Consider the following 17510-nt stretch of genomic DNA (forward strand, 5'->3'; position numbering starts at 1 on the left):
AGCTTAAAAAAAAAGTAAAAATACGTAAAAAAATTTCTGGTCTGATATTTCCAACATTCCTGCCATATTTAGCTATGGTTCTGATGTTTGGTTTGGTCTCCTCAAACTACAGTTTTTGCCTTTTAGTATGCCTGTAATTTTTTGTTAAAGGTGGACATAATAATACTAAGTATTTTTTTTTTTAAAGCCTACAGTAAACAGGTGTTTTGTAATGCAGTACTAGGGTGATGGGGGAGGAGAAGCATTCTATAGGCCTAGGATTAGGTCTCAGTCCTCTGGTGAGCCCGTGCCTCTAGACTGTGACCTTCCACCAGCATTTCTCAGGTTTTTTCCTCCCTTCAAATGGAACAGGGTGGCTGGAGAGGGCTGAAGTTATTTCCCTTCCCACAACTGGAAGTCTAGAGGGAGGTGGAGTTAGGAATTTCCTTTTCTCCATGTGGAGGGCTAGAGTTGACTGGAGCTGCATTTTTCCCATTCCCCAGTTAGGTTTGGTTCTAAGAGAAATAATTTCTCCTGAGGGCAGGCCTTGTTAAGAACAGAATACCTTGGTGTATTTCAAAATGTTTCACTTCTCCCTTCTCCAGCTGACAGCGTAAGAGGATTTTTCTCAAATATTTACTGTGAGGACCTGGTAGAGCTCCAGGAAGTAAATCTCACAAAACTACGGGGGCTTCCTTAGGACTGGCTCTCCCTGGAGCTTTTAGGTCTCAGACTTGTCCACACTGAGCCTCCAGCAACTCCTCAATTACAGCTCAGATTTTCCTACCCGGGTACTGGTTCCCTCAGGGGTTTCTGATCCTCGGTTTCTGCTTCAGTAGTTGTGATTCTCTGTATCCAGCTGTCTGTCTCTCCAGTTTTGGAGGATGTGGTTTGCCCTGTGACTTCACTTATCTGAGGAATCTAAGAAGTGTTGTCTATTCTTCATTTTGTTCAGTTATTTATTTGTTGTCAGGACCAAGTGGCAATTACTGAGCTCCTTACATGCTACACTGGAAATTGGAAGTCTTCAGAGATTACTTCTTAATAGTTTTTAAGAGTGCTTTGTATATGAAGATATATACCCAAAAATCAGACAAAAAACCCTCTGTCAGGTTTTACAAATTTTTTCCTAGTTTGTCATCTGTCTTTTAATCTTGTTTATATTGGTTTTGGAGGCACAGGAGTTTCAATTCTTGTATACTCAAATCTATGATTATGGTTTCTGATTTTACGACAGAAAGGTCCTCCTGCTATCAAGAATATAATACCTTTATCTATTTTTTTGTACTTTTATGGTACTTTCAGTTTTTCCATTTCCTACCTATCAGAATTTTTTTTCTTCAGTTTTTATTAAATGGCTGGCTGGTTGTCACATCGTTTACTGAATAATTCCATCGTGTTCCAAAAACCATAAAATGCTGTCTTTATCTTAGACTAAATATCTATTAATAATTGGGTATGTTTCTGGACTTTGAGGGAAAAAAAAAAAAAAACCTGGGAACAGAGACTGCCTGTGAAATGAACTGAGTAGCTGGAAACAGGGAAGAAAAAAAGACTAATTTTTCACTGTTCCCTTTTAAATTTATTCCACGTGCTTTGAATTATCACTCAAGACATCAACAGAAATCTGTTGAAATTCTGCTTACTAGACATGATGTCATTATCAAATATTTCAGATTTGGCAAATTATACCACAACCCCATATGCACCTGAATACCTGAAATCATAAGTCTATCTTGAGCTTAAAACCCTGATTTAATCTATTCTATTTTAAATAAATAGTAAAAGTACCTCAATTATCTTAAACTAGATGTTTCTCTGCCACTTAACATGGTCAAACACAAAACCATATTTTACCATGAAGGAAAAACAAAAGCTTCTGTCTAAATCCTTAATTGTTATAGTTAAGGCTACTACTGGAAATGTGTAAGAATCTCAGATAATGTCAATTTCTTACTGTGTGTGCTTCCCAGATCCAGCCATCACAGATGTATTTTACTTTTTGTGTTGTCAGCTAGTCACCATCTTTTTCTACCAATACCTATAGTGAATACTTAATCAGAACCTAATCTTTTTATTCTATTGCTATCTGATCATTGTATTTTCAGTATCATTTCATTATCATTCAATCTCTGAAGCCAAACTGAACCTCTGTTGTAACCATAATTCCATAAGCGACTGCCTGAGAGAAAAGAGGTATCCATCTAGCAGCAGACAGAAAAAGAACAGCTTTCTTCTGTTATGTCAGTCTTCTTAAGATCCTCTCTCTCCCCCTATTTTCTAAACAACTATGAAAGACAGACTCATTTAGTAATTTTAGCCTTTCTCCAAATAAATATATTTTTTAGCCACTGAAAATGCTCTCTTAATAGAAATGCGAAGGTGACCTAGTATTCAGTCTCATTAGCATTCTCATTAATAATTACAGCGATCAGACATTATCTTTGTACCCTCTAATTCTGCTCTCACTACCTGCTCTCCTAGGTACTTTCTTAGTCTCTGTTGCTCTGCTAATAAATGAACTCTTTTAACATGCAGAAGATGCACATTCCACATATCTCCTAGGAAAACTAATATTTAAAAGAGAAACCAATGCTTTTAACAGTCTAATTACCCTTAGATTTTAAAGCCTCTTATTTTTGATCTTCATAACAGTATCATCCCCATATTCAACAGGAAACATACAGTGTGATTTACCAAACATCCTATTACCGGTAGTAGAACTAGGTCTCCTGTGAGAATGTCCTTTGCCCTAAATACATTGCCTTCCTCAGAGAAGAAAAGTGTCTTTGCAGAACACAATGAAGGATGCGCTTTATATAGCACAATGTATGAATATTAGTGATATATGTATAAAATCAAAATTAAGTTCAGTACTTAAAGAAATCATATCTTCTATATAAGAAATGATTTCAAGCACTCCAAGAGACCACACTATAAAAGCTTCTAGGCAGAAGGTACTATATTTCCTTTTCTCCCAGTGCCCCTAGCACCTTATCTTATACAGTGAAGTACTTATCTAATGGCCACTTTTTTTTTTTTTTTTTTTTTTTTGAGACAGAGTCTCACTCTGTCACCCAAGCTGGAGTGCAGTGGTGCAATCTCAGCTCAGTGCAACCTCCGCCTCCCAGGTTCAGGTGATTCTCCTGCCTCAGCCTGCCAAGTAGCTGGGATTACAGGTGTGCACCATCATGCCCAGCTAATTTTTGTATTTTTAGTAGAGATGAGGTCTTGCCACATTGGCCAGGATGGCCTCGAACTCTTGGCCTCAAGTGATCTGCCCTTGTCGGCCTCCCAAAGTGCTGGGATTACAGGCATGAGCCACCGCACCCAGCATAATGGCCACTTATTTCTTAGCAAATCTCAACTATCTGCTAATAAATTTGGCAGATTTCTGTGTATCTGAGACACAGTCCAATACACAGAAATTATAAACACCCTCCACTAAAATCTGGGCACTTTTCATGAGAGACTCTTCTCAGATGAAGTTACTCTTACTTTAGATCAACAGTTCTCAACCACATCAGATTCAATGTGCCCCTTGCATAAAATATTTTCCAACTTCTGCTTTACCACCCTGAAACAAAATAACAATATTCCTACAATTTCAAACAAATCCATATACCCTAAATAAGAGTGGAAAAGAGACATGAAAATGATTTATAATAACATATATTTCGACGTGGGGCAAAACTACACTAGAAGACTTAAAGAAGTAACTAGTAGCTGAATATATCTATGAATGCAGAGCTGTTTGTGATACAATTTTCCAAAACTGTAAACAATTCTTGGTCAAGTTGTGAACAAAACAATCTTCCTTCAATTCACATAACCGTTGCATGTGGAAACAGACTCAGTTAAAATTCAGTCTCAGTTAAAATCATGATGCAAGATGGAGGTTCCAGGCTTTGATAATTACAAATACTACATGAAAGTCAGGCAGATATTCTTAAATCATGCAAGACATGGGGACACTTTGTTCAGGACTGTCCCACACCTCTCTAGCCTTCACTCAACAAATGCAAGTTGTTAGCTCCAATCATTACAACAATCTAAAAAATGCCTTCCAGTTTCCCCTTGGAGGGCAACACCAAGCTGGACCCACCGCCTTAAACACAGTTCCGCTATCTATCCCAGTATAATGTAAACAAGCTTGGGAAGCATGAATTAGATCTCCAGTTCTGTTACCAATGACCTATGTGATCACCCGCCAGTTGAGTTAACTTCTCTAAACCTCACTTTCCATGGTACCAAAAGGGAATAAACGCTATATGGCTTTTTAAGTTGTCAGAATGACTCAATGACACGTGTATAGCACATAGTAGGTGGTTTCCAACCCATGGCCTATTGAGATGTGAAAAAAGGCACTGTTCCAGGTAAATAGAAAGAAAGCAGCAAAAAGTAATCTAAATGTGGAAGAGGCAGAAGATATAATAAGCATACAAAATGAAACTTAACGCACAGCAGTCTAGGGACATTTCAGAGAGCAGCCAGCCATCCTACCTAGGTTGCCTTCAGCAACCCCTGAAGGCATTAATGTACTAGGATTAGCTGAAATAATTAATATTCACAATGATGACCTCCAAAGTAAAAAGGCAAGAAAGACATTTTTAAGAGACTTCCAATGTACGTGGCTGAAATTTTTTAAATCTGATGCCTAAAGAGTGACTGTATTTCACAAACATTATTCAAATTTTTATTGGACGTTTACCCTATCTGAGGCTAGATAGTTGGAAAACACAAAGAAATCTAATACACCATGTCTGTTCTCAAACATTTTACCATTCAGTACATTAGACATGGTAGAGGCAGAATGACACAGATAAGAAATAGAAATTCAAGTAATAAATTATGAGAGCACAGACAAAATTAGGAATAATTGTCCCTGAGGAAAACCAAGGATGTCTTCATGGCACAGGCCACTGAAAAATGAGAGTTCTGATAGGTACAGAATGGGGAGCAAAGTGTTAAGGGAAAAACGAAATCTGGGCAAAAGCACTGAGCATGAAAATACAGGTTGGCTGAAAGAAGAGAGGTAGGGAACGGGTACATTAGGAGTTGGGGGTGAAAGTAGTAAAAGTAAAGGCTGTAAAGCTATTTCAGGACCTTTCATGAAGGGATCTGAATGATATTCAAATTCATTTGAGTTTTATTGAACAAGAGAGTTCGCCAAAAAACTGGTGCTTATGCAGCACACCTGATCCTCAAATAATGCTGAATAATGGCCAAAAATAAAAGATTCAGAGTTAAATGCAAATTATTACTCAAATTCCTGAAATAAAAAGTCTTGACATGAATTAATAAGCGAAAAGAACCTAACCCAAGAGTAGAAAGTAGCTTCTGAGCTTGTTTCTTAAATAATGAAATATTACCCAATTTATTGACTGAGAACTGAAAATAATTTAGGATAATCTGTTGTGTCCTTTGATTGTCTTCCATGCAAGTCAGAGTATTTCCTAAACATATTATTTAGCAGTGCCTCATATCACCCTTGAAAGGCAAGAGACAGACTACAGTATTATTACCCCCTTTTTATCACAGGGAAACTGAGGAACAAGAAGACAAAATTACAGTATGGTCACAAAAGCCATCATATTTTCTAGGACTTTAATTAAAGGCTCCAAGCCTACATTTCATCTTTTATTCTTCGCACCATCTGAATACTAGAATTATCTTTTACTATCGTCTTAACTGGAAAAAATAAAAATATCTAAACTTTAACATCATTTTCTCAATTTGGTACTGTCACAAAAAAAAAAAAAAAACAGTTTTAAAAGTCTGCCCTTGAAATGATATTTGCAAGAACAGCAAGGTGTAAGCAGTAACCCAACCTCCAAAAAATACAGTTGTAAATCTTACAGCTGTAATATAGTTGTAAATCTTAAGACAGGTCAGGAATCCTAGACCCAGCCTTTACTTTGAACATCTGGCAGGCCTCAGGGAAATAATGGAGATTCGTGTCTGTAAACAGTCTTTGCAGATGCTCTGATGAAAAGGTGCCCTAAGAGGCCCAGAACAGTGGTATCACTGCACCCACTACTGCAAACATGAAATCCTCCTCTGTCCCTCCCTGCATTGCACCACGAGACTCGTGGCACACACGGAGGCCTGTGCAAGAACCTCTCGACGATTCCTTTAAAATGTGGTAATATAAGGACGCCTTTGGTGCTGGGCCTCCGTAAACACTGAGGATACCGGATGTGGCCAGGCACACCTCAAAGTCTTGGCTCTCCAAAACCAGGGCCTGGTCGAGAGTTTTATTGGACACCGAGTTCCTGCGAATATCTCACTTTTCACACAGGCACTGCCAATCCCTACCCTCCAGTACCCTTCCTCAGCCTCCTGCCCCACTCTCGCCGCGAGTGTGGGCGTCCCAAAGAGCTAAGGAGGGTAAGGTTGGTTAGAGCGCAGGGGCCAAGGCCGCGGCAGCGAGGCCGTCCAGCGCGGGCTAGGATCCCGCCAGCCCAGCCCTGGAGCCCGGCCGCCTGGCCCCAGCCCTGGCCCGGGCCAACGCGCCGCCGCCACCGCCTATCAGCGGAGCGCAGGGGCGGGGTGCTGTCCGGACTAGGCTGCCGGGCCGGCGGGCGGGGGCGGGCGGGGACGGGCGGGGGACCGACCTCTGCGCAGCCCAGGCCGCCGCGCGCACACACCGGGCCCGGCTCCTGAGGGCGCCAGCGCGGCCCCGGGGAGCGCGAGGAGCCGGCGAAGCGCGCGGCCTGCCGTTGGCGGCCTGGTCCGCAGCGCCCTGCGCCCACCCGCCCCGGACGTGGGGCCCAAGCCCCCGTGAAGATGGTGTCCTGGATGATCTCCAGAGCCGTGGTGTAAGTGCCTCTCACTGCGCCCTGCAGCCGGCGCGAGGCCCAGGGGAGCTGTGGGAAGGGGAAGGAGCCGAGAGGAAAGGGAAGGCCTGGGCCTGGGCGGGGACGGGGTAGCCCGGCCTCGGGCCTGCCGAGGGTCTGGGGGAGCCCTCGGCTTCCTCACCTTGGTCCACGTCGCTGCGGAGCTCCCTGCGACGGCCGAGGGCCTAGCTGCGGCGACTGCGGCTGCGACGGCGGCGGCGGCTGTGGCGCTGCTCGGCTGCGTGCGGTGCGGCGCGGCGCCCCTGCTCCGGCGGCGCTGGGTGGGCAGGCGCTCAGGGCAGGCGGCGCGCGCTCCCCGCTCCTGCTCCCCGCGCAGCGCGGCACCGCCCTGCGGGCCCGGGAGCGGCGCGCCTCGCAGCTGCTCCCTGCGCAGGCTCCGCAGACGCCGAGCGCGGGAGGCTCCGCGATCCTCCCGAGGATGCGACGGCAGTGCCGAGCCTTTGTATCCCGCGGCTGATGCGTTGCGGTGTCTCTCTTGGCGGCTGATTGCCATTCGGTCACGTGTGGTAGGAGGAGAGATTTGTCTAAAAACCGGAGACCGCTCCCAGCCCAGGATCCCTGGGAAGGGTCCTAGTTTTCCCAAGATTTGCAGCTTACCGAGAAAGGTGACACCGGCTGCTCGCCCAGATCCCCGAATTCGGCCCTGTCTCGGCGGAAATATTTGCTAAGTGATTGAAAGGCTGCAGGTGCCTGTTGCCTTTGTTCAAATTATGGGTTCATTTCATTGTTCTCCTACCAACAAGTGCTACAGGTCTGTAAGAAAAAGAAATTCCTTGAGTTGGTGGTGTTAATCGTGTAAATGTATTTGAATACAGTTTAAACTGATTTTCTCTCATCTCCATTTTACCCCTCTCCCCGATTAAAAAAAAAGTCACCAAGTAAACAATGACGTAGTTACAGCTAGGGCCTATGAATTCATTATTCACCTCTGTAGTAGTGTTATCTCAGAAGGTTTCATAAAGGTATATGAAAAAATGTTTATGTGAGGGGGCAGGCTTCTCTGATAAGCTTTAGAATTTAGGAAAAATAACATTACCAGACTTTTTGTTAAAAGGAGCTAGATTTTCTGAGTTTGGGGTTTATTTTGTTTGGAAGTGAATTACTAGCCCTATTTAATCAGATTTGCAGCACAGCATTCAAAATTTTTCATTTGATTAAATCGCAAAGTTTCTAGTTTTAAAGCCTCAGAGCTTCCTGTGTTCCCCTGTACGAAACTAAAAATCAAGATATAAACAAAAGGATACCACAGATGCCTTCAGATTGTTTTTCAGCCTTTTCCTGGCCTCTCTTTTGAGTCTGTCATTTATCTAATTCAGGCATACCTTTCTTGACCTAGTAGATGTCTATCAACTGTTGTGTCCACACCTAGAAAATCAAGTGCCCTATTAAGAAGCTGTACTTTACAAAAAAAAAAAAAAAAGCCTCTGGATTTCTTTGACCAGTTCTTCAGCTGACAGAAAATTGTGAAGCACTTTTAGACTTTTGTTTTTCATAATTGCCAATGAATATGAATGTCTGTTCTAGGTGCTACCTATAACACAAAGGTCAGTAACACGTAGTTGATCATGGGAATTGACAGTTTGGGTGCACAGATATCTGCAGTACAGGTCCAAATGTCAACTCTTGTAAAAGTTACACCCACTCTAATACCCAGTGTTGGACAAGGAAGGGATATCTGGTTGGAGAATCAGAAAAGGCAAGGGAGATTACGTTTCAGATGGGCCTTAAAGAATAGGCCCAGTAGAGTGGCTCACACCTGTAATCCTAGCACTTTGGGAGGCCAAGGAGGGAAGATTGTTTGATCACAAGAGTTAGAGACCAGCCTGGGCAACATAGCGAGACCTTGTCTCCACAAAAAAAGAAAAATTTAATTAGCTAGTCACAGTAGCTCACACCTGTAATCCCAGCTACTCAGGGACTGAGGTAGGAGGATCGCTCAAATTCAGGAGGTCAAGGCTGCAGTGAGCCGTGATCGTGCCACTGCACTCCAGCCTGGGCCACAGAGTGAGACTGTGCCTCAGAAAAAAAACAAAAAAGAATGGACAGAATCTAGGCAGCCAAAGATGAAAAAGGAAAGGATTCCAGATATAGGGACCGGCGTGAGCCAAAGCCCAGAGGAGGAAAAGCCCAGATTAGTTACAGTGGGCGTGAGGGACTCGGGTGGGGAAAAAGCAAGCTGGAAAGGTAGCCTGGGGCCTGTTTTCAAGAAAGAAGGGGTAAATGTTATAAGGCAGCAACAGCTTTGCTTTGGAAGATTCTCTGCCCTTCTGTGAAATGATTGGCAATGGAGACCTGGAAGACAAGGAGACTCCTTAGGAGGCTCCCTAACTGGAGAGAGGGGATTAAAGCCTCTCTCCAGTTAAAGTACTTGAGCTACAGAATGTAAGGTTTGAGGCTAACGACAGGGAGCAATAATGTGAGGAAGAAAATGTCATGAAAAGAAATGTATTTCTCAAGTGTCAGGAACTGTTATTTTGTGAGCCGTGAACACATTAGCACATTAGAAAGCACACTTGTAGAGAATATAAACATCATTCTATTTTTCCTCTTTACTCAGTTTCTCTCTCTAAACATGAAAGAGCAATCACAGGATCTACACAAACTTGGAAACCTTTTTCACACCAGGAGGTAGAATTTACTTGATTCTTTCTAACCCACTGAGACAACCACCTCCTCCTGAGCAAGATCAGACCCTTCTCTCAACATGAACCTCTGGTAGCATGGGCAGGGAACCTCCATAACCAAAGCACCCTGTATGTAGAAGCACTTTGTCCCAAGATCCTGCACTTTAACACCAGAGAAATTAGCCCTGGACACCACTCTTTTTTTTTTCTTTTTTGAGACAGAGTCTCTCTCTGTCGCCCACGCTGGAGTGCGGTGGTGTGATCTCAACTCACTGCAACCTCCACCTCCCAATTCAAGCAATTCTCATGTCTCATGACTCAACCTCCCAAGTAGCTGGGACTATAGGTGCACGCCACCACACCCGGCTAATTTTTTTGTATTTTTAGTAGAGACAGGGTTTCACCATATTGGCCAGGCTGGCCTTGAACTCCTAGCCTCAAGTGATCCGCCCACCTTCCTCGCTAAGTGCTAGAATTACAGCCATGAGCCACCGCACCTGGCCCTGGATACCACTGTTTACAGCTGCGTGGTCTTGGGCAGCATGCTAAACCCTTCTGAGCTTCAGTCTTCTTGCCTTTAAGTCATTATAATAAATACCACATGAAACCGTTGTAAAGAAAATTAGCCGGGCGTGATGGCGCACACCTGTAGTCCTGGCTACTAGGGAAGCTGAGGCACTAGAATCACTTGAACCCTGGAGGCAAAGGTTGCAGTGAGCTGAGATCGTGCCACTGCACTCCAGCCTGGGCAACAGAGCAAGACTCTGTCTCAAAAAAAAAAAAAAGACTGTTGTAAAGATTAAATTAGTTTAACTAAAACGTGGAAGTGTGGTGCTTGGCATTGAGTGTGCACTTAAAACGTAATAGATATATAGATAGCTTTTTTATGAGGGAAGTGAGTAAAATGGTGTAGGAAGAAATATCACTGGATTGTTACCAAGAAACTTGGAATTCAGAACTGGCTTTGGTTACCTTAACCAGCTGAATGACCCTGAGGCAGTCTCTTGCTGATTATAGACCTTGGTTCTATTTCTTAGAAGAGGCAAAGGGACCTGATAACCGCCAAGCTCTTTTGTCCAGCCTTAGCATTCTGTGATGATATGAAAGTATTTTTCCATTACTTACAGTCTGTTCAATCTCAGCTTACTTTAACATCACAGGCAAGATTGACAGATTAGTTACTTTTTTTTTTTTTGAGACGGAGTTTTTCTCTTGGTGTACAGGCTAGAGTGCAGTGGCACAATCTTGGCTTACTGCAATTTCCGCCTCCCGGGTTCAAGCAGTTCTCCTGCCTCAGCCTCCCAAGTGGCTGGGATTACAGACATGTGCTACCATGCCCAGCTAATTTTTGTATTTTTAGTAGAGACGGGGTTTCACCACGTTGGCCAGGCTGGACTTGAACTCCTGACCTCAGGTGATCCTCCCACCTCAGCCTCCCAAAGTGCTGGGATTACAGGCATGAATAGTTACCAATTTTTAAGGGATAGTAGTTTGAGATTACCAATGATGTTCCATTCATATATGATATCCACACCTCACCTTTTGAAACATGACTCTCATAAGTTGAGGGAAATTCCATTTTTTTCCCTAACTTTTCTTAATTTGTTTTTATGATCTAGCATTGTGATTAAGATCAAGATAAAAGCCAGATTGCCAAATTCAACTATTAACTCTGCCATTTATGCGTCATAACCTACCCCATGGGATTAAATACATTACTATATGTAATGTCCATAGTCCAGCATCTGGCACATAGTAAGCATTCAGTAAATGCTAGTAGTAGTTATCAGAAAAAGGAAAAACATGCTCTCCTAAAATCCCAGCATGCTGAATGTTTGAAGTATCTTCAATATACATTTTTTGTTTGAATCACTTTGTGTGTAGGTAACATAATTTTAATTAGAGTATAGTAAAAATGTTATACTAGTCTTTATTATATTGTAAGCATCTTCTATGTTGCTCTGAAATCTTATAAGCATCTTCTATGTTGCTCTGAAATCCTATTTAGTATCTTCTGTTTGATCAGGCCAGTATTATTTTCTTAGCCATTCATCTATTTGTATTTAATTTTACATTTAGATAATTTTTAATATTTCATTATTATAAGTAATGCTGAAATGCAATTATAATGCTATAATGGACATTATATATACTTCTTTTGAAGTACATACTTCTTTGGGATAAAAATACAAGAGGAATATTTCTGAGTCAAACACTGAATATTTTTATGATCATTGATATGAATTGCCAGATTGCTTTCCAAAAGAATATTAATATTTTACATGCTAGCAGCAATGTGTGAGTACTTTCTTTATCACAATGTAGCCAGAATCGGAAGTTTTAATTTTTTAATACTTTACCAATAAATATAACATATCTCATTGTTTTCTTTTGTATTTTATTTATCAGCACAGTTGAATGCTTGTCCAGATTTTTATTAATTATATATATTATGCATACAGTATGTATATACTTTGCCCATTTATCTCTTGGTTACTTGATAATTTACTTGTTTTGTCTGAGCTTTTTACATAATAAAGGAATTAACCTTATGTGATATTTCATGCAAATGTGTTTCTCAATCTAATTTCAGTTTTCTTTTAGATATTTTATTCTTGGTTGCATAGAGAGTTTATAGTTTTAATATAGTTCGCCTTCTTTGTTTTTTATTTTGTGATTTCTTGATCATTTCTAAATGTAAAATTAGATACTACAGATATTTGATAAGTACTACTTTCCTATGTAGAAGTGGATTAATTTGGAGACTTCCTTTTCAATTCTATATATCGATATTTCCCTTTTTTACAATGATAATACATTTTTGTTTTACCTTAGTTTAATTGTCTGGCAGTACTCTTAAAACCCGCAATTATTTTTCTCTGATTCTCTTCATTTATATTGGGTGCTATAATGGATGTCTTCAAAGGCTAAATTATACACCTTAAAAACCATACTTCAGCAGCTTTCCCCCTTCTTTTCAGCTTCATCTCTTTTTTCTTCTCTACTAGATCTTTCTCGACAGCATACCAACATGCTATTACTTCTCCCATCTTAAAAAAAAAAACTCTTTTAATCTACTATACTTTTCATCTTATCACCCCATTTCCCTCTGTCTCTTTAGAGCAAAAATTCCTCAGAAGAATAGTCCAAGCCGGGCACAGTGGCTCTTGCTTGTAATCCCAACACTTTGGGAGGCTGATGCGTATAGATTACCTCAGCTCAGGAGTTCCAGACCAATCCAGGCAACCTGGTGAAACCCCATCTCTACAAAAAATACAAAAAACAAAAAAATTAGCTGGGCGTGGTGGTACATGCCTGTAATCCCGGCTACTGTGGATGCTGAAGTGGGAGAATCACTTGAGCCTGGGATGTTGAGGCTGCAGTGAGCCATGAGCATGCCACTGCACTCCAGCCTGGGCAACAGAGTGAGACCTTGTCTCAAAAAAAAAAGAAAAATAATTTTTTTAAAAAAAGGATAGTCTATACACCATCTTCACTTTCTTTCCTTCAGGGTACTCTGGAACCCATACGTTTGTTTAGACTTTTCTCTCCTTCCACTCCACTGAAATTGCCCTTCTCAGATCAATAGTGACCGCCACTTGGCCAAACTGTTTGATCCTCATCTGACTTATCAGCAGCTTTTGATACAATTGCTCACTTTCTCCTTGAAGTATTTTCTTCACTTGGTTTCCAAGAAACCTTGCTTTTTTTTGTTTTTTTTTTTTTTGTTTTTGTAACTCAACGGCCACTCCCTTCTCAGCCTACCTGGCACATTTCTCCATGTTCCTTGACTTCTTAAAGTTGTTAAAGTTGGCATGTCATGGGGATCAGTCCTTAGACCATTTTCTCTTTTCTATTTGTAGTCCTTTAAGGATTCCCATTAATTTACATCTCCAACCCAGATCTCTCTGCTGAACTCTGTGATCATATTTTCAGCTGCGTTCTTTGCTCCACGTGGAAACATCTGAAAGTCAGACTGAACTTAAGACATCCAAAACTAGGCTCTTGAGCTTCCTTCCCCATCTGGCTCCTCTGGCAGCTTTCCCCCACTCTGTTAATGCCAGCTCCACCTACTAGCAGCTCAGGCCAAAGACCTTGGGATCATACCATCCTTGATTCCTCTCTTTCTCTAGTTCCCTACATTGAATCCGCAAATCTTGTTGACTCTGCTTTCAAAATACATCCTGTACTCACCACCTTTACATACACCATTCTAGTCCAAGCCAGCATCATCTCTGAAATGTGTTGTAGTGGCATAGTGTCCTGTGTCTGCCCTTGTCCCTCCTCAACAGCAGCCAAAATAGTCCTGTTGAAACCCAAGTCAAGTCATGTGACTCGTCTGCTCACAACCCTCAGATGACTTCCTGCCTCACTCAGGAAAGCCAGGTCCTTATGATGGTCTACAAACAGGACATGATCTGGACTTTTTTCCATCTCAAACCTTTGTCTCTACCTGCCCGCTGCCATTATAACTCCAGCCACAGTGATCTCCAACACAGTGGAGATCTGTGATCTCCAGGTAAGACCTGAGAGCCTGGGCACTTGATGGCCCCTGCCTCAGTGCACTTCCCACAGATACCCTCCTGCCTCATTCCCTCGCTTCCTTCAGGTGTTCACTTTCTCAGTGACCCCAGCACTCCTGCTTTCCTTCCCCGCTCCGTTGTCTGTAGTATTTGGTACTTCACTTCTTTAACCTATCATCTGTCCTCTCCAACTAGAAAATAGTCTCCATGAGAGAAGTCTTTTCTCTAATATGTTCATTGCACACAAAAGAAGCTCAATAAATATTTTCCGCAGTAAGAGAATGAAAAAAATGAATGTGAACTATAAATCACAGAACTATTGATAGTAAATATTATGCCTCATGAATTTGGGGACTGCCTTTTTTTCCCTCCTCCAGAGCTTATTTCACAATTAATTTTTCTCATGAAAGCTGCAGTGAATGAATTATTTGGAAAGAGAGACTGAAAGGATCTCAGCATTGAATAAAGTTTTTTTCACTAATGAGCCTCTTTCCAGACACACTTATTCCAGATAGGGAAAAGAGAAAAGGCTCTGCATTTGTACTGTTACTAAAAACAATCTCTTTAAACCTTGGTAACCTAGCTAAAATTGTTCTGGAGATAGATAGGGAAGTAGGATTGGATACCTTAACAAATATAGGAAAGAAAACAGAATAATATGACTGGAAGTGAATGTCATTCTTTTATTTATTTTATTTATTTATTTATTTTAGAGACAGGGTTTCACTCTGTCATCCAGGCTGGAGTACAGTGCAGTGACATGATCCTGGTTCACTGGAGCCTCAAACTCCTGAGCTCAAGCAATCCTCCTACCTCAGCCTCCCAGGTAGCCAGGACTAGAGGCATGCACTACCACACCCAGCTAATTTTTTTATTTTACTTTTGTAGAGATGAGGGTCTTGCCATATTGCCCAGGCTGGTCTCCAACTCCTGGCCTCAAGCATTCCTACCACCTTGGCCTCCCAAAGTGCTGGGATTACAGCTGTGAGCCACTGCCCCGGCCATGAATGTGATTCTTTTTTTTTTTTTGAGACTGAGGAGTTTTGCTCTTGTTGCCCAGGCTGGAGTGCAATGGCGCAATCTCGGCTCAATGCAACCTCCACCTCCTGGGTTCAAGCAATTCTCCTACCTCAGCCTCCCGAGTAGCTGGGATTACAGGTGGCCACCACCATGCCCTGCTAATTTCTGTATTTTTAGTAGAGACAGCGTTTCACCATGTTGGCCAGGCTGGTCTTCAACTCCTGACCTCAGGTGATCCACCTGCCTTGGCCTCCTCAAGTGCTGGGATTACTAGCATGAGCCACTGCGCCCTGATGAATGTCATTTTTATATTCATCTTTGCTATAATATAGCAAGAGAATGTACCATTTGTTAGGGTATATGTTTGTTAAGTTTATGATAGGATTAATGAAAAAATCCTCATTTTTAAATCCTTATGGAAGTTTGAAGGCAGTCACAATTATATGAGTGATATTTTTCTTCCTTTATATGTGCTTTAAATTTTTTAACTGGTTGTAAAATCTCAATGATAGCTAAAATATTTTCTTTCAATTAGGTTAAGGTAGATTTTGTCTTTATTTACCATTTTTTATGAGATCCATTGTGAATAGCTTACATGTTCATGAGTTGTATCTAAGAATAAGATACATTGCTATTAGACAATGAGAAATCAGGTAAATAGGAACAATGATGTTTTCAAGAAAATTAAAAGGTTGACATTTTAAAAATATATGTAGGAAATGCCCTGTAAGAGGTCATCTTTTCTGTCTTCTTTCATTAAGAAAGAAAACACATTCTAAACTATTGGGTCTTGTTTTCACTGCATGGGCTAGAACTTCCAACAAGATTCCTTTATTAGCCTGCATTTCAAAAACAATTTGCTTTTGTCCATTTTTTGTTACTGTTGCTCTGTTAGCTATTTCTTTTTCCACTATATTTTAAACCCTTTTAGGATGGAGATTTTTATATTATGTACTTTAAGTATAGATGAAACTGTTCAAATAAATGGTACATTACAACAATAGTGGCATAAATGGGTATTTTAAATATCTTAAAAGATGTTATTGTTTTGATCATTTCATGGAAAAAGGTTACTGTTGATTCATAACAACATGAACTTATTTTTATGTCATTGATTACACATTTGCACTAAACTAATCCTTTCATACAACTTTTGAGGTAAATGAGAGGTTAAAGATAAAAATTTTTGTTATAAAATTGTTCATGTTTACAAAACTAACTGTTAAGGGTTTATGCATACTTACCCCTATTACTGAAGTAAATTTACCAGTTTCGTTCATGTTGTTATATTTACAGAGGCCACTATGACTGAAAATCAGGCGAGATGGCATACTCACTAAAACACTGTGAACAGGGAAAACAGTAGCAATCAGGATGGAATTATCCAACAGTGGTTAGAGATTATTTTATGTAATGAGCAGACCAGCTAACGTTAGAATGTTATATAGCCATTCATAATTATTTTCAAAGTACTTTTCATTTCATTTGAAGATGTTTTAATATATCACAGTTTCTTAACCTCAGCATTATTCATATTTTTAAGTGGATAATTCTCTGTTGTGGGAGACTCTCCTGTGCATTGTGGGATGTTTAGCAGCATCCACCAGTTGTGACAGCCAAAAATGGCTCCAGATATGGAATTGACATATGTCACCTAGTGGGCAAAACTGCCACTGGTTGGGAACCACTGTGTTAAGTAAAAAGGGAAGAAAAATATATATGGAGAGGGCATGAGGCTAAAAACTGTGCTATCTCATATGGTTATGTGTGGCTATTTAAATGTAAATTAATTAAAAATTAAATTTCTCAATACACTAGCCACATTTCAAGTGCTCAGTAGCTATGTGAATGCTTATCTTATTCTGTGCTACCTTACTGGGCAGCATAAAAATAGAACATTTTTATCATCGCAGAGTTCTGTTGAAGTGATCCTTTACGAGATATAGTCCGCTCAGCATCTCCACCTGAAAATGGCTGTGCTATTTTCTATTTGCTGCTTCTATGTATTTTATGAGAGAAATTCTATAATGATATTTGGAAATTCACAAGTATCTTAGGATAGCTCTGGCTTAAGAATATTCTATATAAAAATACTGTTGCTACTTGTAGAAAAGAAATTACTGTTGCTGATCAATCTGTCACAATCTTTATTATTTCAAAATTCCTATGTTTACAGAGAATTTCTAAAAATTGATGAAAAATACTGATATAGTACACTTTGCAAATATTTTTATACTCACGTATTCTGCACATCAGGTGTTATAATCCATATTTTTTAGCCTGTAAATGAAGTATGACTTACAAGTTATAGTTTTTCCTGGTCTTAGAATTGATTAAGACATTAGGATTAGAATACAGAGCTGAAGGTTATCACTATGTTGCTTTTCCTAACTATTAACAGTGTCATTGACTCTGCAGAATCAAAACTATCAAGGAAATCATAAAAGTAAAAGTCATAGGACAAATCTAAACAAAATAGGTTTATGCTAACCAATAATTCAAAA

At 40.6% G+C, this 17510-nt stretch overlaps 2 protein-coding genes across 10 annotated transcripts in view, besides 2 other annotated features; one reads left to right on the forward strand and one right to left on the reverse strand.

Annotated features, from left to right (window-relative positions):
- JMJD1C (jumonji domain containing 1C) overlaps positions 1-7113 on the reverse strand; it is a 354666-nt gene extending 347553 nt beyond the window's left edge. For all 7 annotated transcript variants that reach the window (XM_017015897.2, NM_001322258.2, NM_001318154.2 and 4 more), the window contains exon 1: positions 6961-7113. The gene's annotated coding sequence lies outside the window, so the exon portion shown is untranslated. The remainder of the gene's footprint in view (positions 1-6960) is intronic.
- Positions 5820-5869: an enhancer, noted in NCBI's record as "active region_3441". NCBI's record gives its function as "activates an Ori minimal core promoter by ATAC-STARR-seq in GM12878 lymphoblastoid cells {active_cell/tissue: GM12878}" and the evidence as "EXISTENCE:reporter gene assay evidence [ECO:0000049][PMID:35858748]".
- Positions 6260-7309: a silencer, noted in NCBI's record as "silent region_2409". NCBI's record gives its function as "represses an Ori minimal core promoter by ATAC-STARR-seq in GM12878 lymphoblastoid cells {active_cell/tissue: GM12878}" and the evidence as "EXISTENCE:reporter gene assay evidence [ECO:0000049][PMID:35858748]".
- REEP3 (receptor accessory protein 3) overlaps positions 6624-17510 on the forward strand; it is a 103728-nt gene continuing 92841 nt past the window's right edge. For all 3 annotated transcript variants that reach the window (NM_001001330.3, XM_011539501.3, XM_017015896.2), the window contains exon 1: positions 6624-6800. In NM_001001330.3, the coding sequence (NP_001001330.1) occupies positions 6769-6800 (32 nt within the window). In that variant the 5' untranslated portion in view covers positions 6624-6768. The remainder of the gene's footprint in view (positions 6801-17510) is intronic.

This window comes from Homo sapiens, chromosome 10 (assembly GCF_000001405.40).
Source record: "Homo sapiens chromosome 10, GRCh38.p14 Primary Assembly".
NCBI classification, from domain to species: Eukaryota; Metazoa; Chordata; class Mammalia; order Primates; family Hominidae; genus Homo; species Homo sapiens.